The 16,009-nt window shown below is 41.4% G+C and overlaps 1 long non-coding RNA gene across 1 annotated transcript in view, besides 1 other annotated feature; it reads right to left on the bottom strand.

The window, feature by feature from the left end:
* Positions 1 to 1,369: 1,369 nt before the first annotated feature.
* Positions 1,370 to 16,009, bottom strand: part of LOC105373171 (uncharacterized) — a 33,098-nt gene continuing 18,458 nt past the window's right edge. Inside the window, exons 2-3 of the long non-coding RNA XR_949271.3 lie at positions 7,600 to 7,766; positions 1,370 to 1,681 (exon numbers count right to left, since the gene is read on the bottom strand). This is a non-coding gene — a long non-coding RNA (uncharacterized LOC105373171). The remainder of the gene's footprint in view (positions 1,682 to 7,599; positions 7,767 to 16,009) is intronic.
* Positions 8,165 to 8,365: a silencer, noted in NCBI's record as "peak768 fragment used in MPRA reporter construct". NCBI's record gives its function as "represses an SCP1 promoter by STARR-seq MPRAs in K562 erythroleukemia cells {active_cell/tissue: K562}" and the evidence as "EXISTENCE:reporter gene assay evidence [ECO:0000049][PMID:32103011]".

Raw genomic sequence — 16,009 nt, 5'->3', positions numbered from 1 at the left:
AATACTATACAGCGATACAAATGCATAAAGAGAAACTGAAGCTGTAAACATGGATAACTCCAAAAAGAGAATGTTGAGTGTAAGAAGCTAGTTGCAAAATGTCAAACATTGTATATAACATTTATATAGAGTTCAAAATAAAGCAAAATGATCTATATTATTATTATTATTATTATTATTATTATTTTGAGACAGAGTTTTGCTCTTGTTGCCCAGGCTGGAGTGCAATGGTTTTATCTTGGCTCACTGCAACCTCCGCCTCCCAGGTTCAAGAAATTCTCCTGCCTCAGCTGCCCAAGTAGCTGGGATTACAGGCACCCGCCACCACGCCCAGTTAAGTTTTGTATTTTTAGTAGAGATGGGGTTTCACCATGTTGACCAGGCTGGTCTCAAACTCCTGACCTCAGATCTGCCGCCGCGGCCTCTCAAAGTGCTGGGATTACGAGCGTGAGCCACCACACCCGGCCTAAATTATTTTTGATACTTATATGTAATAATAGTATAAAAGCTGTGTGGAAATGCAAGTAGCAAAGTCAGTTACCTCTGGGAAGAAAGACAGGGGCATGTTCAAGGCCCTTGAGACTTCTGCCAATATTACCATTGATGCCCCTCCACCTTTCACTAAAATTCTTTTCAGGATCCTTTAATCCTTCATTGACAGTCTCCTCAAGGCTGCCTGGTCCCAAAGCCAATGCTACAATGTTTTAGCTTTTTTTTGGCCATGGTAGCACCCCAGTCCTGGTACCAAAATCAGTCCCAGTTACTGTTGCCATATAACAAGCCACCCCAAAACCTAGTGGCATACAGCAATCCCTTTATTATGCCCGTAGTTTCTGTGGGTCAGGAATTCAGCTACTGCACTGCACTCCACAATGTCTTGTGCCTCAGCTGGGAAGGGCTTGAAGGCTATGAATGAATCAATGGCTGGAGGCTGAAGTTCTCTGGAGGAGTCTTCACTCCTGTCTGGCAGTTGATGCGAGCTGTTGCGTGGGACCTCAGCTATTGGCTGGAGCAGGTTCACACGGCCTCTCCACGTGGCCTGGACATCACAGCATGGCAGCTTCAGAGTAGCTGGACCTCTTACTATGACAGAACACTACAAAGACATGGGCCTCAAAAGAACCGCGTAGATTCTCAATAAATATTTGCTTAGTTGATAACTCTCATTAAGATATTTCATCTGCTTTTTCTTTGAACAAAGTGACATTATTTTATTGAGTTTACCTTTAAAGATTTGATTTCTCTGGATCAAGAGCTCACCGTTCATGACTTTGAGAGAGGGGCTGGCCAGGAAGCAACCTAACATAGTAACAATCCAAAAACGTGTAATGTCTTCAGGGAGAAACAGTGTTAAATAGTTAAAATGATATATGGCAAAGGATTGTGAAATTTATTTCAATTTTCTTTCAATAATAACAATAACTCAGGTATAAAATGCTATGAAGTAAAAGTCCTCTAAGAACCTACTATAATGAAAAGTAAAAATGTATCGTAATTAAGAGTTTGCATAGAGTTTCAAAAACATTTGTTCTCCAAATGGATGGATATTTTTCTTAAACTTGTATGAATATTATGTGCTTCATAAAGCTTTGCTTTTGCTTAGCATTTTAACGAGGATCTCGCTAGAATTATTTCATATCCAGACATAGCAACTGGTGCAGAACCACAGCAAGGCAATGTCCTACAAGAGAAATGAAGATGATTATTACAGTGTAGCGCTAGTCTATTATTTCATATCCTACTTTCTATATGATCAAGGAATGCTAGGTTCTTAGTGGCAGTCTAAGGCTTTGACAGAAGATTTTTTTAAAGGAAAAATGGAAAATATGAAGCGAACTGTAAAACAGCATGAAATGAAAAGTTGGCAGGAAAGAGAGAATCTGAGGGAGGAACAGAATAAAATAAAAGAATGGAGAAAAAGATGAAGGGAGAGTGAAGGGAAAGAGAGAGAAAGAAAAAAGCAGGTAATTGAAACATGATTATAAAGGGGTCAAATTGTTTCTGGCAATGTTTGAAGGGAGAAACATCTGTCTCCATGTGCCAGAATGTACTTTTCAGATTCTGCCGTCTGTATTAAAATTAAAACATGACTGCATGTCATTGCGATGCCCCATCAGAAATATTCTTTGGAGATAACAGTTTATTGGACTAGAGAATCCCACTAATCCTCTCACAACCAAAAAAGCATCTGGTGAAAAATAGCCTCAAAAGACATTCAGAACAATCTGATATTTCTACATAAGCTCCATGAAAAGGGAGTCTTTCAATTAGTGACAGGAATTACATTTGTGTTACTGCAGATTGTATTCACAGTGTGGAAGTGATTACAATGTAGTATATGTCCCTGAAAGCCAAATGATCTGCTCTTTTTAGTTTCTGGTATCAGAAAAAAATAGCAAAACTGTCCAACAGATAATCCCCAAATCATGACGCGTAATAAATCTGCCTGCTGAAAAATCTTTAAGAAAACTTCCTCTGGAGGGGAAGGAGGAACGTGGGAGGTAAAACCACATGTGCAGAGTCGCTGATATCAAAATCGTAATATTGCTTCCAGCTCAAATTTCATATTTTATCATTGTTAAAATACAGAAATGAGACAATGCCGTGAAGGCATCTTTACCGAACTTGAATTTTTAATGCAGCATCGCCTGTGAACCAGACTGAAAGATAACAGCTGGAAGCTGGTACGTTCTGGGCAATTGTTATTTTTGAAAAATAGTGGAAGCAATAAGACATCAAAATGGTCTTTTAAATTCCGTCTTCAGCATGAAGCTTCTACCCTGAAGAGGGGGAATATAAAACTCCAACTGACTTTGTTGATTAATGGAAATTTATAATCATACTCCATCACCCCTAGGAAGAATGGGCCCGGCTTTGCGGATAGCAAAAGGGAAACTCAGTTAACCAAATGGGGAAGTTTCCTGCTACTTATCTCGCTGGGGAGGTAATGTGGGGGGAAACGGGGTGTTGGTTTATGGATATAAAATATGAGTACCCACCCTTTAAGGATTCAATCTCTGGTACTTCCTGACACAGATTTGGGGTTGGGTAGGGAAAATGGAACAGGACGCTGTACCTTATTTGACCTCTCTGTTTTGTTTTGTTTTTTGAGATGGTGTCTCGCTCTGTCACCCAGGCTGGAGTACATTGGCATAATCTCGGCTCACTGCCACCTCTGCCTCCCGGGTTCAAGCGATTCTCCTGCCTCAGCCTCCTGAGTAGCTGGGATTACAGGCACGCGCCACCATGCCCGGCTAATTTTTGTATTTTTAATAGAGACAGGGTTTCACCATGTTGGTCAGCCTGGTCTCGAACTCCTAACTTCAGATGATCTGCCCGCTTTGGCCTCCCAAAGTGCTGGGATTACTGGTGTAAGCCACTATGCCTGGCATCTGGATCTTCTCATGAATCAAATCTTTACCATGAAGCCTCATAGTTAATTCTTATGCTTCCTCTTAAAACAGTTCTTGGGGCTGGGCACAGTGGCTCACGCCTGTAATCCCAACACTTTGGGAGGCCAAGGTGCATGGATCACCTGAGGTCAGGAGCTCGAAACCAGCCTGGCCAACATGGCAAAACCCCGTCTCTACTAAAAATACAAAAATTAGGAGGGGCACATTGGCTCACGCCAGTAATCCTAGCACTTTGGGAGGCCATGGCGGACAGATTGTCCAAGCTCAGGAGTTCAAAACCAGCCTGGGCAACATGGTGAAACCCCATCTCTACTAAAAATACAAAAAAATTAGGTGTGGCAGCGTGCACCTGTAGTCCCAGCTACTCGGGAGGCTGAGGCAGGATTGCTTGAACCCGGGAGGTGGAGATTGCAGTGAGCCGAGATTGCTCCACTGCACTCCAGCCTGGGCGACACAGCGAGACACCATCTCCAAAAACAAAAAAAAACAAAAAAACACGAAAATTAGCCAGGCATGGTGGCACGTGCCTGTAGTCTCAGCTACTTGGGAGGCTGAGGCAGGAGAATTGCTTGAACCCAGGAGGCAGAGGTTGCAGTGAGCTGAGATGGCACCAGTGCACTCCATCCTGAGTGACAAAGCGAGACTCTGTCTCAAAAAAAAAAAAAAAGAAAAACAGTCCTTGGGCTGGGTGTAGTAGCTCACACCTGTAACCCCCACACTTGGGAGGTTGAGGCGAGAGGATCACTTGATACCAGGAGTTCAGGACTAGCCTGGGCAGTATACAAGTGAGACCCTGTCTGTACAAAAATATATTTAAAAAAATTAACTGGGCATGGTGGTATGCACTTGTATTACTGCAGCTACTTGGGAGGCTGAGGCGGGAGGATCACTTGAGCCCAGGAGTTCTAGGCTGCAATGAGCTATGGAGTGCCACTGCACTCCAGCCTGGGCAACAGAATGAGACTGTCTTGCAATATATATATATATATATTTTTTCTAAACGTATTTAGAGTAAGTCTACAATTGTATCCATGTGAATTTGCAAGTCTCACACTTCAAAGAAAAGAATAAAAATATATTTTCTGCCTTACAAACCCTGTCCTCTTCACCACTACTCTTGTCCCTCTCTCAGACACACCTCAAACCTGAAGCGTCCCTTAAAGTCCTCTCCTCTAACTTTCACACCATTCACCATTTTGTTGGGGGTTGCCTGAAGTAGTACCCGCTGTGTCTCTTAAATGTTTTTGCGCACACCTTGGCACCTGCTGAGGCTGAACTAGAGCTGAAGGGACTTGAGTTTGGAATTAGAACCTCCTCGCTGAAAAGGTCAACAAACATTAAAAGTGGCTGTGGTGTACCCTTCTCTAGAGATTTTGGGAAAAAAGACCATTTTTTTTTTCTGGGGAATAGCATGAATTATAATCCAGCCCCAAATATGGGAAATGCTGTTAAGGTCTCTTCTACCATTTTATTTCTACCCTCAATGACTTACCCAGGAGTACATAAAAACAAATCTGAGGCTGCCCAGGGCTCTGTTGCCAAGTCTGAGGACTAAGCACTTTGATTTGTCTAGGAAGTAATGAATTCCCACTGTCTTGAAATTAAGACTAGGCCAGGTGCAGTGGCTTACACCTGTAATCCCAGCACTTTGGAGGCCATATTGGGAGGGTTGCTTGAGCCCAGGAGTTTAAATGTTTTTGCTGCACCAGCTTGGGCAAAACAGGGAAACACCTAACTCTACAAAAATAAAGAAATAAAAAAATCAGCTGGGTGTGGTGGCATGTGCCTGTAGACCCAGCTACTTGGGAGGCTGTGCCAGGAGATTGCTTGAGCCCAGCAGGTTGAGGCTGCAGTGAGCCATGGTCAAGCCACTGTACTCCAGCCTGGGTGACAGAGTGAGACCAAGCCTCAAAAACACAATGAAATTAAGAGGATTCTCATGTGCTGTGAATTGTACTACAACAAACTGTACCTTTTAATAACAGAAGATCTGCAGGCTTGGTGTGTTTTGAAAGAGAAGAAAGGTAGAAGATGAGGTTGGAGACGGGCTTGGGGCTAGATTATGAGGACTATGGAAGGGACTTTGAACTTGAAGCAAGGAAAGCAGTCCAAAAATAAAAGTCCAGGTGGGAAATATTTTGGCTTGGACTAAGGTTCCTGCCAGAAGATGAAGAGAAGAGGCGCATTTGAGATAGTTTTTGAAGTTAGAGCATTCCTGAACTGCTGGTGGATTGGATATTGGACATGGGATATGGGAAGTGAGGGAGAAGAAGGAATCAAGCATGGCTCTAGGATTCTGGATTAGGTAACAGTGTGGATGTGTGTACCAGAGACAAATGGAGAAATAGGTGTGCTGTGAGTGTGTGTGCAAACATGTATGTGTGTTGGGGTTAGATTGACAAATCTAATGACATGTCAAGTATGTGATGGGGTGTGGGAAATGCCACCCCAAAATGTGGTGCCTTGGAAATTGAGAAAACAGCAGAAGCTGGAAGTCCCTCTGATCTTCTCTCACTCCTTTCTCCCTTGAAGTGGGACACATAGGAACTAACATTCTCCTTACCCCTTCTTCCTTAAAGCAGACCATCAAACCTAGGAAGGTGACTCTGATCTCCTCCTTTCCTCTGAATACCCTCATGTGTCAGGTATCCTGTTCTATCCCCAGAGGAAAGGAATGTCACGCAGGAACCCCAGGAAGAAACTGAACAAATAGGCCTTCCTAAGTTCCCCCCTTTAGATCATACTTTTTTTCTCCAGTCATACTTCTGCACCACTGTCCATAAAAATACATGGATCTTCCCATTCCTTTGGTTCTTCATTTCTGAGGGTACTCTTGCCACATAAAACTAATAAAATAAATTTATTATATGCTCTTCTCTTTTTAACCTGTCTTCTGTTATAGGGGTCTCAGCCATTACTCTCATATTGGGTGAGGAAAAGATACACTTTTTCTCCCCTACTTATGTAATTGTATTTTCTGACCTGAATATAAAGGAAGAAATTTAGGCTGCAGGTGAAGATAGGAATAGACTCTGCTTATCTATAATACCTGAAATCTAAGGTATTGATGACATTGTCCAAACGGAGACTAAGGAGAGAGAAGAAAAGGAGTAGCGAGCTGGGTCAGATCTAAAAGAAAATATATGAGCGATGGAAGCAGAATAGAAGACCCCATATGATATTAAGAAGTGGTCAGAGTGGGAGAAAGAAAGTCAGGAGAATGTGGGCTTGCAGGTGAAGGTAAGAGAGTGTTGAGAAGGAGAGGTGATCAGGAATGAGGGTACTGGGAGAGTCCAGAGAAGTAATAAGGAACCCAGTGAGAACTGCTGCAAAGAAGTGCAGTGAGGAGTGCCCTGGGCTTCAGTGGAGTTAGGACAGTGTTAGCGTGAAGGGGCAGAGATGATGCTATCTGGAGGGAAATGTTTAAAAGCGTAACTGCAGGCCTGGACACAGTCAAGGGGAGACGAACACGTGTTGACTGAGTTCGAGGAGATTCCTTTCAGAAGCACAGCTGGAGCTGAGCCTTGAGTGATGTTTAGGATTTCACTTAGCTGAGGGGGAGAAGAGAGATTTTACACATGGGGAATGAACGTGAACAAAAGACTGGACCTACAATTCCAGCATAGTAGGCACAAGCCATACGTAACACCGGGTTCTAGATGTATGCCTAATTCAAATGGAGATGCACCCTCAGCGCAAAATACACACCAAATGTCAAGGACTTAATATGAAAAAAAGATTGTATAATATCTCATTTGTAATTTTATGTGATTACATCATCTTGAAAAGGTAATCTATTGGATATGCTGGGTTATATAAAACAGATTATTATAATTAATTTTATCATTTTCTTTTTTTTACTTTTTAAGTGTGACTATTAGAAAATTTAAAATTACATTCACAGCTTGTCGCCTGTTTCTATCAGACAGTGCTGGCCAGAGATGGAATGAGATTGCGTGACACAAGGACCACCAGAGGAGAGTGTGTGCTCTGGCATAAAAGAAGATGAGTTTGGATCATTTCAGTGGAGTCTAAGTGGAGAGAATTTCCAAATGCAAGCAAAGAAATGCCAGGAGACGGCTGTTGGAAGTTCCTAAGCAGGAAAAGGGCTCTAATCTATGGGAAATTCAGGCATAGGGGAGTCTGTGTTTTTAAATAATGAGAAAACTACCCCTTCAAAACCAACCTAAGAAGTCTTCTGTGGAGGGGTGGCCTCTAAGAATAAGCAAGCAGAATGCAGGGGTCCCACGAGCCTTCCTTCTATTCAGTTTCTTTGTCTTCTAGCACTTTAGTCAGCAGACAATCCAGAGCTTGATGTCAGAGGCTGGGGCCTGGAGTTGAACAGTGAACTCACTAGAAGAGAAAGGAGAGCTAAGTCTGTTGGTCAACTCTTGTGAGCATGGCCTGGCAGGAGGTGCCTTATGTCATGGAGTGAGATGGTCAGGCACAAGGACTTGGGAGTCAAGCAGCCTGGGACAAAATCCCAGTTGCCTCTCTTACCTACTGTGTGACTTGAAGTAAGTCAGAGAGCCTCTCTCGGCTTGGTTTTCTCTTTTGTTTAAGGCCTTGAATACTGCACATAGGGCTGCAGTGAGTTCTAATGAGGTCATATAAGGGAAATACATAGCCGGGTATGTATGTACACAGGCACACTGTGACTCTCAGTTAACATTCATTGTTATCATGGTTGTATCCGTTTAACAGCTCTGCAAGTGGAGGTGTTGAGATACCCATTTTATAGGTGAGGGTGCCGGACAAGGGCTATAATCAGAGCATCTTGATTTCAGGCTCTCCTCAGTAGCACCATGGACAGATCACAGGTCGCTATGAAGTTTAACCTGTGCTCACAACACATTGGGCCAGCTTGGGAGTGACAGCGGGCTGGTCCGTCCCTTCCAGGGTAGATAGCTCCCGAGAAAGAATTGCACTTCCAAAAGAGACTTCCTTGCTTCTGAGAATGTCCTCTCCCCACCTCTCCACTCCTCTCTCTCTTCTCTCTCCCTGAAGGCCTAGAACCTAGTTTCTTAAAAACTGGTAATATGTAGATTGTGCCTTTTTGTTCCTTCATTACTTTGTACTTCACATCTCATGAGTCAGCACAAAGCTTTTCAGTGCATCAGGAGATGTTTATGTTACTCCCTCTCTATGGGAGATTAGGGACAAAGAAGGCAAGAGACTGGCCTTTTTGTGCATTTCTTAAGACACTCCTTCTAACCAGAACCTCTGCAGACAGTGTGAGGCTCCCCATCTTTAAACCTGTGTGGTAACATTTGAGAGAAAGCAGTTTTTTTTAGTGTAGAAGAATAAGTATGGCAGTGAGAGTGGAGGCAGTGTGTAAGAAGAGAGAATGACCAAGGGCAATGTAAGTGTGAACAAACCTGCTAGCAGGTGAGTTCCTGCTTTGTGGGCAGTCCCTGAGGCTCTGAGAATGACCTACTAAAGAGAGCCAGACCTGTGGGAGACCCGGTTTTCAAAGACACAGTGTGCAAGAGGGGTTGAAGTCACTGAAAAACCTCTCACCCAAATCTTTATCTCTCCCCACTTGCATTGTATCTGAAATCTCAGCATTACAGCTTTGTTTTTACAGGTAAGGTTTTATTGTTACTTATGAAGATTTGTTAAAAAGCATCAAACTGCCAGGCACGGTGGCTCACGCCTGTAATCCCAGCACTTTGGGAGGCCATAGTGGGCGGATCATAAGGTCAGGAGATAGAGACCGTCCTGGCTAACAAGGTGAAACCCCGTCTCTACTAAAAAAATACAAAAAAATTAGCCGGGAGTGGTGGCGGGCGCCTGTAAGTCCCAGCTACGCGGGAGGCTGAGGCAGGAGAATGGCGTGAACCCGGGAGGCGGAGCTTGCAGTGAGCCGAGATCGCGCCACTGCACTCCAGCCTGGGCGACAGAGCGAGACTCCGTCTCAAAAAAAAAAAAAAAAAAAGCATCAAACTGTCCACACTAGCAGATAAAAGAGGGCCAGCTTAGTGATGTTGCTTATATAAAGTATGACACATCCCTCCCATGGCACATGCCTTAAAGATAGTGATGATGGAGATCTCTGTTGACATGGAAAGATGTTCAGGATATATTGTTTAAAAAAAGGTATGGAAGCAAGATTCCACTTTTGCTTAGGAAAAGTCTTCAAATACACAGATGTACATGAGATGTAATTCAATTTACTATTGAATTATAGATTTTTTCTTTTTGCTTATCTGTATCTTCCAATTTTTATATTAAGAACAAAGATTTATTCTGTGCTTTAAAATATTTTAAATGCAAGCCATCTTACTTACAAGTTACTTACTTACGAGTTACTTAGTAGGCATTAATTAATAAATAAATTATCCTATTGAGTTCTTGTTTAATTGGCATAGAGTTTCAGCTTTCCAAGATGAAAGAACTTTACAATATTCACTGTACAACAACATGAATGTACTTGACATTTCTGACTTGTACACTTAAATATGGTTAAAATTGTAATTTTTGTTTGTTTGTTTGTTTGTTTGAGACGGAGTTTCACTCTCTTTGCCCAGGCTGGAGTGCAATGGCGCGATCTCAGTTCACCGCAACCTCCGCCTCCCAGGTTCAAGCGATTCTCCTGCTTCAGCCTCCTGAGTAGCTAGGATAACAGGCAGGCACCACCAAGCCCGGCTAATTTTGTATTTTTAGTAGAGACAGGGTTTCTCCATGTTGGTCAGGCTGGTCTCAAACTCCCGACCTCAGGTGATCCACCCACCTCGGCCTCCCAAAGTGCTGGGATTGCAGGGGTGAGCCACCATGCCTGGCTGATAAATTTTATGTTATGTGTTTTCTACCACAATTAAATATTTTTTAAACCTACAAAAATGGGGAATAAAGACAGCGGAGAGGAGTATAACAGGGCCAGCAGTGGATTAAAGGCACCCCATTCTCCCAGCACATCTGCAGAAAAATCTTGGCCATGATTCTTATTTTTTAAAACTGGTTTATTGAATGGTTTAAACATCATGGGCTTTATTTTTCTTAAACCATTGACTTTTTACATTTTTTTTTATTATACTTTAAGTACTAGGGAACATGTACACAATGTGCAGGTTTGTTACGTATGTATACATGTGCCATGTTGGTGTGCTGCACCCATTAACTCATCATTTACATTAGGTATATCACCTAATGATATCCCTCCCCCCTACCCCCACCCCAGGACAGGCCCCAGTGTGTGATGTTCCCCACCCTGTGTCCATGTGATCTCATTGTTCAATTCCCACCTATGAGTGAGAATATGCGGTGTTTGGTTTTTTGTTCTTGTGATAGTTTACTGAGAATGATGATTTCCAATTTCATCCATGTCCCTACAAAGGACATGAACTCATCATTTTTTATGGCTGCATAGTATTCCATGGTGTATATGTGCCACATTTTCTTAATCCAGTCTATCATTGTTGGACATTTGGGTTGGTTCCAAGTCTTTGCTATTGTGAATAATGCCGCAATAAACATACGTGTGCATGTGTCTTTATAGCAGCATGATTTATAGTCCTTTGGGTATATACCCAGTAATGGGATGGCTGGGTCAAATGGTATTTCCAGTTCTAGATCCCTGAGGAATCGCCACACTGACTTCCACAATGGTTGAACTAGTTTACAGTCCCACCAACAGTGTAAAAGTGTTCCTATTTCTCCACATCCTCTCCAGCACCTGTTGTTTCCTGACTTTTTAATGATCGCCATTCTAATTGGTGTGAGATGGTATCTCATTGTGGTTTTGATTTGCATTTCTCTGATGGCCAGTGATGATGAGCATTTTTTCATGTATCTGTTGGTTGCATAAATGTCTTCTTTTGAGAAGTTTCTGTTCCTATCCTTCACGCACTTTTTGACGGGGTTGTTTGATTTTTTTCTTGTAAATTTGTTTAAGTTCTTTGTGGATTCTGGATATTAGCCCTTTGTCAGATGGGTAGATTTTAAAACTTTTCTCCCATTCTGTAGATTGCCTGTTCACTCTGATGGTAGTTTCTTTTGCTGTGCAGAAGCTCTTTAGTTTAATTAGATCCCATTTGTCAATTTTGGCTTTTGTTGCCATTGCTTTTGGTGTTTTAGTCATGAAGTCCTTGCCCATGCCTATGTCCTAAATGGTATTGCCTAGGTTTTCTTCTAGGGTTTTTATGGTTTTAGGTCTAACATTTAAGTCTTTAATCCATCTTGAATTAATTTTTGTATAAGGTGTAAGGAAGGGATTCAGTTTTAGCTTTCTACGTATGGCTAGCCAGTTTTCCCAGCATCATTTATTAAATAGGGAATCCTTTCCCCATTTCTTGTTTTTGTCAGGTTTGTCAAGATCAGATGGTTGTAGATGTGTGGTATTATTTCTGAGGGCTCTGTTCTGTTCCTTTGGTCTATGTCTCTGTTTTGGTACCAGTACCACACTGTTTTGGTTACTGTAGCCTTGTAGTATAGTTTGAAGTCAGGTAGCATGATGCCTCCAGCTTTGTTCTTTTGGCTTAGGATTGTCTTGGCAATGTGGGCTCTTTTTTGGTTCCATATGAACTTTAAAGTAGTTTTTTCCAGTTCTGTGAAGAGAGTCATTGGTAGCTTGATGGGGATGGCACTGAATCTATAAATTACCTTGGGCAATATGGCCATTTTCATGATATTGATTCTTCCTATCCATGTGCATGGAATGTTCTTCATTTGTTTGTGTCCTCTTTTATTTCGTTGAGCAGTGGTTTGTAGTTCTCCTTGAAGAGGTCCTTCACATCCCTTGTAAGTTGGATACCTAGGTATTTTATTCTTTTTGAAGCAATTGTGAATGGGAGTTCACTCATGATTTGGCTGTCTGTTTGTCTGTTATTGGTGTGGATAGAAATGCTTGTGATTTTTGCACATTGATTTTGTATCCTGAGACTTTGGTGAAGTTGCGTATCAGCTTAAGGAGATTTTGGGCTGAGACAATGGGGTTTTCTGAATATACAGTCCTATCATCTGCAAACAGGGACAATTTGACTTCCTCTTTTCCTAATTGAATATCCTATATTTCTTTCTCCTGCCTGATTGCCCTGGCCAGAACTTCCAACACTATGTTGAATAGGAGTGGTGAGAGAGGGCATCCCTGTCATGTGCCAGTTTTCAAAGGGAATGCTTCCAGTTTTTGCCCATTCAGTATGATATTGGCTGTGGGTTTGTCATAAATAGCTCTTATTATTTTGAGATATGATCCATCAATACCTAGTTTATTGAGAACTTGTAGCATGAAGAGCTGTTGAATTTTGTCAAAGGCCTCTTCTGCATCTATTGAGATAATCATGTGATTTTTGTCTTTGGTTCTGTTTATATGATGGATTAGGTTTATTGATTTGTGTATGTTGAACCAGCCTTGCATCCCAGGGATGAAGCCCACTTGATCATGGTGGATAACCTTTTTGATGTGCTGCTGGATTCGGTTTGCCAGTATTTTATTGAGGATTTTCACATCGATGTTCATCTCAGGGATATTGGTCTAAAATTCTCTTTTTTGTGTGTGTCTCTGCCAGGCTTTGGTATCAGGATGATGCTGTCCTCATAAAATGAGTTAGGGAGGATTCCCTCTTTTTCTATTGATTGGAATAGTTTCAGAAGGAATAGTACCAGCTCCTCTTTGTACTCCTCGTAAAATTCGGCTGTGAATCCATCTGGTCCTGGACTTGTTTTGGTTGGTAGGCTGTTAATTATTGCCTCAATTTCAGAGCCTGTTATTGGTCTATTCAGGGATTCAACTTCTTCCTGGTTTAGTCTTCGGAAGGTGTATGTGTCCAGGAATTTATCCATTTCTTCCAGATTTTCTAGTCTATTTGTGTAGAGGTGTTTATAGTATTCTCTGATGGTAGTCTGTATTTCTGTGGGATCGGTGGTGATATCCCCATTATCATTTTTTATTGTGTCTATTTGATTCTTCTCTCTTCTTCTTTATTAGTCTTGCTAGCAGTCTATCAGTTTTATTGATCTTTTCAAAAAACCAGCTCCTGGATTCATTGATTTTTTTGAAGATTTCCTTCAGTTCTGCTCTGATCTTAGTTATTTCTTGCCTTCTGCTAGCTTTTGAATGTGTTTGCTCTTGCTTCTCTAGTTCTTTTAATTGTGATGTTAGGGTGTCGATTTTAGATCTTTCCTGTTTTCTCTTGTGGGCATTTAGTGCTATAAATTTCCCTCTACACACTGCTTTAAATATGTACCAGAGATTCTGGTATGTTGTGTCTTTGTTGTCATTGGTTTCAAAGAACATCTTTATTTCTGCCTTCATTTCGTTATGTACCCAGTAGTCATTCAGGAGCAGGTTGCTCAGTGTCCATGTATTTCAGCAGAATTGAGTGAGTTTCTTAATCCTGAGCTCTAATTTGATTGCACTGTGTGGTCTGATAGACAGTTTGTTATAATTTCTGTTCTTTTACATTGCTGAGGAGTGCTTTACTTCCAACTATGTGGTCAATTTTGGAATAAGTGCAATGTGGTGCTGAGAAGAATGTATATTCTGTTGATTTGGGGTGGAGAGTTCTATAGATGTCTATTAGGTCCGCTTGGTGCAGAGCTGAGTTCAAGTCCTGGATATCCTTCTTAACTTTCTGCCTCATTGATCTGTCTAATGTTGACAGTGGGGTGTTAAAGTCTCCCATTTTTATTGTGTGGGAGTCTAAGTCTCTTTGTAGGTCTCTAAGGACTTGCTTTATGAATCTGGGTGCTTCTGTATTGGGTGCATATATATTCAGGATAGTTAGCTCTTCTTGTTGAATTGATCCCTTTACCATTATGTAATGGCTTTCTTTGTCTCTTTTGATCTTTGTTGGTTTAAAGTCTGTTTTATCAGAGACTAGGATTGCAACCTCTGCTTTTTTTTGTTTTCCATTTGCTTGGTAGATCTTCCTCTATCCCTTTATTTTGAGCCTATGTGTGTCTCTGCCCATGAGATGGGTTTCCTGAATACAGCACACTGATGGATCTTGACTCTTTATCCAATTTGCCAGTCTGTGTCTTTTAATTGGAGCACTTAGCCCATTTACATTTAAGGTTAATATTGTTATGTGTCAATTTGATTCTGTCATTATGATGTTAGCTGGTTATTTTGCTCGTTAGTTGATGCAGTTTCTTCCTAGCATTGATGGTCTTTACAATTTGGCATGTTTTTGCAGTGGCTGGTACCAGTTGTTACTTTCCATGTTTAGTACTTCCTTCAGGAGCTCTTGTAAGGCAGGCCTGGTGGTGACAAAACCTCTGAACATTTGCTTGTCTGTAAAGGATTTTATTTCTTCTTCACTTATGAAGCTTAGTTTGGCTGGATATGAAATTCTGGGTTGAAAATTCTTTTCTTTAAGAATGTTGAATATTGGATCTTGGCCATAATTCTGAGTTGAGCTAATCTTAATAGTTAGGCAATGAGCCACCTCATCAGAGTTACAGTGGGTTCCTGCATTTTGGCAAAATTTACTTAGATCGACAACTAATACCAACTTACAAACTTTCCTCCACAGTCTGCATTGCTCTCTAAATGGCAAAGCTGTTTAACTTATGCTAGAGAAAATTTGATTTGGTGTATTAATGTTCATCTGCTTCATTGATTGTTCAGCCTTCTTTCTCTAGAGCCACTTTTCTTCCTGGAGCTTTGTAATATTACCCATCATCATACACACTTTGTTAATAAGCAATATTCTCCTGAGCCATTATTAGAAACAATAGTATGAAATGAGTAAATAATTCCAAAATTATACTAAAAATCCAGAGCAACTGGTAGTGCAGAACCATGTGTATTTACATGGAAAGTAAATCACACAGCAGTATGTGAGTATGGGGAGATGAATGTTCTTGTTTAAATCAGGTGTTACTGAATTGCTAACACTTCTGTGTTACTAACTTGCTAACACTTCAGTGATCACGTGATCCCACAAATGGATTCCCTCCAGCACCACCTTACATTGAGGCTTCCACACCCCATTTTTCTCTTAGTCTCTGGCTGGTTTTAACTCTTCTCTAAACCTATTGGTTAAGCCTTTAGAACTTTCTTTTGATATGCTTCCCTTTGCCCTATCCTCCCATTTCAAATCCTGAGTAAGAAGAAAACAAATAAATAAACACAACGACTACAAAATAGCTCTGTAGATAAGTTTGACTGGTCCCTGATGAGCTCACATTCAACAGTACACCTGAACTCCATCCAGCAATTATCATTCTCAAAGGCTCCTAAGCCTTAATAAGCCATCCTCAAAACTCCACATGATTTGTCCTTATTAATGAAATTTTAAAATTCTTCCTTTCTGTTTACTTACCTGGCAATGTTTCTGAAAATTCAGAGCCCTGGCTGTTCAACATTCTTTTCAGTGTTGAACCAGATGCTCACTAAACTCCATCTCATCTTCTGTAACTTAAAATTTATAGGAAAAAAAAAAGTGTTCATCTAATAAGATACTTTGGGAGGCCGAGGCGGGTGGATCATCTGAGGTCAGGAGTTCGAGACCAGCCTGGCCAACATGGTGAAACCCCATCTTTACTAAAAATACAAAAAATCAGCCAGGCTTGGTGGTGGGCACCTGTAATCCCAGCTACTTGGGAGGCTCAGGCAGTAGAATCGCTTGAATCCAGGAGGCAAATGTTGCAGT

Source organism: Homo sapiens, chromosome 1 (genome assembly GCF_000001405.40).
Source record: "Homo sapiens chromosome 1, GRCh38.p14 Primary Assembly".
NCBI classification, from domain to species: Eukaryota; Metazoa; Chordata; class Mammalia; order Primates; family Hominidae; genus Homo; species Homo sapiens.
The sequence above is the reverse complement of the archived record's forward strand: the minus strand, read 5'-3'. Positions and strand labels throughout refer to the sequence as shown.